The 6,344-nt window shown below is 40.9% G+C and overlaps 2 annotated features.

Annotated features, from left to right (window-relative positions):
* Positions 4,630 to 5,829: an enhancer, noted in NCBI's record as "BRD4-independent group 4 enhancer chr9:29450054-29451253 (GRCh37/hg19 assembly coordinates)". NCBI's record gives its function as "activates an origin of replication core promoter dependent on BRD2, P300/CBP, MED14 and CDK7 cofactors, and independent of BRD4, by STARR-seq in HCT116 cells {active_cell/tissue: HCT116}" and the evidence as "EXISTENCE:reporter gene assay evidence [ECO:0000049][PMID:35650434]".
* Positions 5,229 to 5,791: an enhancer, noted in NCBI's record as "NANOG-H3K27ac hESC enhancer chr9:29450653-29451215 (GRCh37/hg19 assembly coordinates)". NCBI's record gives its function as "activates a minimal SCP1, AML or CMV promoter by ChIP-STARR-seq in naive and primed H9 embryonic stem cells {active_cell/tissue: H9 hESC(naive and primed)}" and the evidence as "EXISTENCE:reporter gene assay evidence [ECO:0000049][PMID:30033119]".

Consider the following 6,344-nt stretch of genomic DNA (forward strand, 5'->3'; position numbering starts at 1 on the left):
AACAACACGGATAAACTTTGTAAATATTATGCTAAGGAAGCTAGTCACAAAAGACCACCTATTGTATATGAATGCATATATGTAAAATGTCCAGAATGGGCAAAATAGAGAGACAGAAAATAGATTAATGTTTGCCTATGGCTTAGGGTACTGTAGGCTACTTGAGATGAACTGCTAAAGAGGGCAGGGTTTCTTTTTGGGGTGATGAACATTTTCTAAAATTAGATTGCTGTGATGGTGGCACAAATCCCTGAGTATGCTAAACAGTATTGAATTGTACACTTTAAATGGGTGAATTTTTTGGAACATGAATTGTATCTCAATTAACCTCGTATTATGGAATACAAGGACATCAGAGGTGTAAGGGATTTAGGGATTACATCTTAGTTTGATGCAGGCTATTATTTGGGGTTCCTTTAATAAGGTTATCTTCTTAGAACATGAGAAGTCCCTGTTCATGCTGACTAGTTGGATTCCAGAAGTCAAAAAACACAAAGTTGGCTAGAACTCTGGAGGAATTTGCTGAGTAGAGAAAGCTTAATTAGCCTGAGCAGTGAAGAGTACCAGATTGCTAGGGAGTCAATGCAAAGAGGAAAAAGATTTTAAACGATACAAAAATCCTCTAGTGTAGGGATCAGGACACTTTTTTTTCTAAAGAATTGGTCGGTAAGTATTTTAGGTTTACAGATCATATGGTCACAACTATTCAACTCTGTGCTTGTATTGAGAAAAATCCACAGACTGCATGTATATCAATGGGAGTGGTATAGTTCCAATCAAATTTTATTTATAAAATAGGCATGGTTGTATTTGGCCTGCAGACCACAGCTTGCTGACCCATGCTCTGAAAGAAAGCAGGTGTTACAGAGAGGAAATCGGGAATAAACAATTGTCTAAATCTAATACCTGCAACTTCTATTTCTGGATGAAGAGAAGAGAGATGAAAAGTTTAATTTAGCTGCTAATATAACACACCTGACTACTTACGAAGATATCTGGTTCATCTGGGGACTAGGAATTTCCAGGCCAGCCCAGTATTTGAGGCCAAGGCAGACGAAGAAGCTTAGCCTGATGCTATCTGCACTCTGAGGAGAGGTGGCCACCGCTGCAGAAAAGATAGCTTCTATTTTATTATTATCATTATTATTATTGAGACGGAGTCTCACGCTGTCACCCAGGCTGGAGTGCAGTGGCGTGATCTCAGCTCACTGCAACCTCCACCTCCCAGGTTCTAGCAATTCTCCTGCCTCAGCCTCCCGAGTAGCTGGGACTACAGGCACACGCCGCCAGGCCCAGCTAATTTTTTGTATTTTAGTAGAGGCGGGGTTTCACCGTGTTGCCCAGGCTGGTCTTGAACACCTGAGATCAGGCAATCCATCCACCTTGGCGTCCCAAAGTGCTAGGATTACCGGCGTGAGCCACTGCGCCTGGCCGGTAGCTCCTATTTGTATTATTGTTATTTTGCTTCAGGAAGGAGAAAATGAGAGGCTCTGGAGAAAGTCTACACAATAATCTCAAGATGGACTTATTTCTTCTCTGACAATGGATTTTCCCTGTATAATGGATACCTCTATGAAAAGTTAAGTTCAAAGTCTCATAGGGGTTATGAAATATTAAGAACCTTACCCTATGGGGTCTTTGCGTGTTTTCTGAGAGAGAATGCAAGTAATCAAGTAGTAGTAAGACACTGTGGAGACTACTTAGAAACTGTCAGTCAGATAAAAATATTAATGGGAATTTAAAGCAAGAATAATGGCAATAGAGCTGAGATTTCCTCTCTAGAGTGTTTTTCCAAAGGCTTTGTGGCAACAGCAGAACATTTAGGAAACAAGGGATCTGGGAAGCTGTTACGGGAACAACTGTAGTGGGGATTTATTCTAAGGACTCTAGAGGATTAATTCGATCTTGTCCTCCACCTCATTTATTTATTTTATATTTATACTGATGTTAGTGTGGAGATTTTTTGCGTGATTTCATGTTCAAAGTAACTTCTGGTTTGTGAAGTTGTTATCAGTGCTCACTCAGGAAAACCTATCCATGAGTAGAGTGAGAACAGGAAGAAGAGGGTATCTGGGTCGATATTTGGAATTCTTGTTGTCTCTGATCTGTGTTCATCTGTGGGTGGCCTCCATGCCTCCCCAGAGCTGCTTTGAATATCACCATTTTTCCATACAGAAAATGTGGCACCATTACTTACTGAATCTTACATTTTTATTGTGTGAGTATTTATAGATGTGACACTTGTCTAAGTAACACTTTCAAAGTGGATAACTGCTTAGAATCATCAAGCTATTGAGGTTAAGACATGTGAGCCTGTTTGTCCTTAAATTCAAGACTTACTGAGTAAATATGTGAATAACAACCAATGACTTTGTGTGAGTGTTGAGTGGCTGGGGAGGACTAGAGTTGATACTCAGAATTCTCCATCTAGACAACTCTAAGTTCTGAAGGGAAATATATGTGGCTTTAGTTCAAAAAAAAAATTAACAGGACCTGGTCAGTGACATCCTTTCCTTGTTTAGTCAGTGGCCCTGTTCATATATTTAGTGATAGGCTGCATATTAAGGGTGAATCAGGAAATCGTGGTGACCCTGCAATTTGCTGAGGAGAGCTGTATATGAAGTCGACGTGAGACAAAGAACTGAGTTTAAATGAAGAGAATAGTGATCCTTAGTGGCTTGGGACACCAGAGACTCATCTTTACTCCTCAATGGACTCTGTTGATGATGCCCTTGTACGTTCACTCCAGAGGCTGCCAAATAATATAACACTGAGGTTCTGTTTCCATGATACCTTGACCCGGAAAATTGCAAGAATAGGAAAAACGCTGAGATGAACAGCCTCAAACTCTTTAATTCCCCGAGAAAAGATGAATAAGAGGAAGTCTTGTAAGCTCAAAAAAAAGTTAAGCTTTAAGCTTACAAAGAAATTCGGTGGAAGTTCTAAATTATTCCAGAGTTAGAAATAGTAAAACCGAAAATATTTGTTCATGAATTGGCCTGGAAATTTGAAGGCTCTAAAGGAAGCATTGTCTCCTGGCACCATCATTTGTATCTTTGATATTTTGGATAATCTTTAATGCCTTCTTCCATGAAATTGTGCTGACATTATATTTCTTATACAGTTGTAGATCAGACAAAAGGGGATACATTAAGGACTTATTAAATGGTAGCTATTCATATTAACTACTTATTAGTTTACAACTAAATAAGAAACTATCAGAGAAAACACAGAGATAAAAATAAGCTTTCTTCTCAGTTTACTTGCCAATTTTTCATCTTTTTTCCCCAATAACATGTTTCTTTTTCTTCTGTTATTAAAGTTTGGTGTTAATTTGAAGATTTCACTACACTGATTGCACATTTAATGTAAATCTGTATGCAGCTACCAGGGAAGCAGATCTCACTATAACCAGTTTATACCCGCAAAGTGAGGATGGTTTGTGCTAAAGTTGGGGAGTTTCAGTTCCTTTCTTAAAATCCCCAACATCTTACAATTTCTGTGAGAATATCATTGCACTTAAAATAAAATGCTTTTAAAACAAAAACTTTACAAATCCTAAACATTATCTACAAAGTGCAACGTGATCTGGCTCTGCTTCCTCTTCAATATCATGGTGTACCACCTTGTTTGTTAGGTGCTAAAACAGTGAGCTGTCTTTGAGTTCTTCAAATGCTTCAGGATCTGTTATATGATGTTCCCTTTAACAAGAATGCTATTTCGTCATGCCCTGTATCTGCGTAGCCTTCAACTTAGATATAATTTCCCAAAGATGCATTTTTTTACCCTACCCTACCAGTTAAATATGTTTTCTCTTGTTATTCTCACAGTATACTTTGTTCGTTTTCTCAAATTTAAGATACTGTGTGTGTGTGTGTGTGAGTGTGTGCATGTGTATGTGGTTTTACATGCTTTCTTTTTTTTTTTCAGCAGACTGTAAATTTCATGAAATAGGATCCATGTCCCTTTATTCTCTCCTGTTTACCTAGTAGAAGGCCTGGCACATTTTAGATTGTCAATAAATATCTCTAGAGTGAATGGATGACAGAGTGTGACTAGAATGGCATTTCCTAAAATGAAAGGAGATCTATGCCTAGTGTATGTACTGTTCTCTGTGAAGGCAGTATTACCTATCTAAGGGTGTGTCAGAAAAGCAGAGTAGGATCATAAAATAGTTTGAAAATATTTCTCTGACATTGGAAAGTTATGTGTGGGCTACACCCAGCAGGAGTAATTGTTGGAAATTGCTTGCATTATGATGAATGATAAATGCCAGGAGAATAATGAATAATTCCAGATAAGAGAATAAGCTTTGTACTTGTTTAGAACATAAACCTGCATTCTTTTAATGATAGCAGCCAAGGATAAATTAAAAATAAAAATCTTGTTTTGCAATGCTCTCCTGTATAAACATTCAAAGTCTTATCAATTCAATTAGAAATAAATCCAAAATTCTCAATACAAGATTTACCATATCTTAGATTTTCCTGCCAACCATACCCACAGCATTTAGTATCATCCTTCCCCCAGGTAACTAAGCTCTAATCCCAAAGCCTGATTTCTGTATCCAGATGGGCTAAGCTCTTTGCTGCTTCAGTGACTTTGTACTAACTCACTTTTCCCTTGGCCCTTCACATGGCTGAATCCGTTTTTTCTGTCAGCTCTCAGTTCAAGTATCACTTTCTAAGGACTGCTTATTACCGAACTTTCTCTGTAAATTCCACACTTTCTTCTGCCCTTGTTGCTTTCTATCACATTATCACGATAGTTTTTTAATAGCACTTGCCATAATCAGAAATTATGTATTAATTTTTGTTCTAAATATTGCATATACATTTTTGTCTAGAATGAAAGATCTATGATGAAAAGGGATGTATGGTTTACATTAGCAAACACGGCAAATAATACAACATCTCTAAGCCTCAGTTTCCTAAGATATAAAATACGGATTATAAGACATACCTTAGAGGAGGAGCCAAGATGGCCGAATAGGAACAGCTCCGGTCTACAGCTCTCAGCGTGAGCGACGCAGAAGACCGGTGATTTCTGCATTTCCATCTGAGGTACCGGGTTCATCTCACTAGGGAGTGCCAGACAGTGGGCGCGGGTCAGTGGGTGCAGCGCACTGTGCGGGAGCCGAAGCAGGGTGAGGCATTGCCTCACTCGGGAAGTGCAAGGGGTCAGGGAGTTCCCTTTCCTAGTCAAAGAAAGGGGTGACGGAGGGTACCTGGAAAATCGGGCCACTCCCACGCGAATACTGCGCTTTTCCGACGGGCTTAAAAAACGGCGCATCAGGAGATTATATCCTACACGTGGCTCTGAGGGTCCTACACCCACCGAGTCTCGCTGACTGCTAGCACAGCAGTCTGAGATCAAACTGCAAGGCGGCAGCGAGGCTGGGGGAGGGGCGCCTGCCATTGCCCAGGCTTGCTTAGGTAAACAAAGCAGCCGGGAAGCTCGAACTGGGTGGAGCCCACCACAGCTCAAGGAGGCCTGCTGGCCTCTGCAGGCTCCACCTCTGGGGGCAAGGCACAGACAAACAAAAGACAGCAGTAATCTCTGCAGACTTAAATGTCCCTGTCTGACAGCTTTGAAGAGAGCAGTGGTTCTCCTAGCACGCAGCTGGAGATCTGAGAACGGGCAGACTGCCTCCTCAAGTGGGTCCCTGACCCCTGACCCCTGAGCGGCCTAACTGGGAGGCACCCTCCAGTAGGGGCAGACTGACACCTCACAGGACCGGGTACTCCTCTGAGACAAAACTTCCAGAGGAACGATCAGACAGCAGCATTCGCGGTTCACGAAACACCACTGTTCTGCAGACACCCCTGCTGATACCCAGGCAAACAGAGTCTGGAGTGGACCTCTAGCAAACTCCAACAGACCTGCAGCTGAGGGTCCTGTCTGTTAGAAGGAAAACTAACAAACAGAAAGGACATCCACACCAAAAACCTATCTGTACATCACCATCATCAAAGACCAAAAGTAGATAAAACCACAAAGATGGGGAAAAAAACAGAGCAGAAAAACTGGAAACTCTAAAAAGCAGAGCACCTCTCCTCCTCCAAAGGAACACAGTTCCTCACCAGCAATGGAACAAAGCTGGATGGAGAATGACTTTGACGAGTTGAGAGAAGAAGGCTTCAGACGATCAAACTACGAGCTACAGGAGGAAATTCAAACCAAAGGCAGAGAAGTTAAAAACTTTGAAAAAAATTCAGATGAATGTATAACTAGAATAACCAATACAGAGAAGTGCTTAAAGGAGATGATGGAGCTGAAAGCCAAGGCTTGAGAACTACGTGAAGAATGCAGAAGACTCAGGAGCCGATGCGATCAACTGGAAG

Source organism: Homo sapiens, chromosome 9 (genome assembly GCF_000001405.40).
Source record: "Homo sapiens chromosome 9, GRCh38.p14 Primary Assembly".
In the NCBI taxonomy this organism is placed as follows: domain Eukaryota; kingdom Metazoa; phylum Chordata; class Mammalia; order Primates; family Hominidae; genus Homo; species Homo sapiens.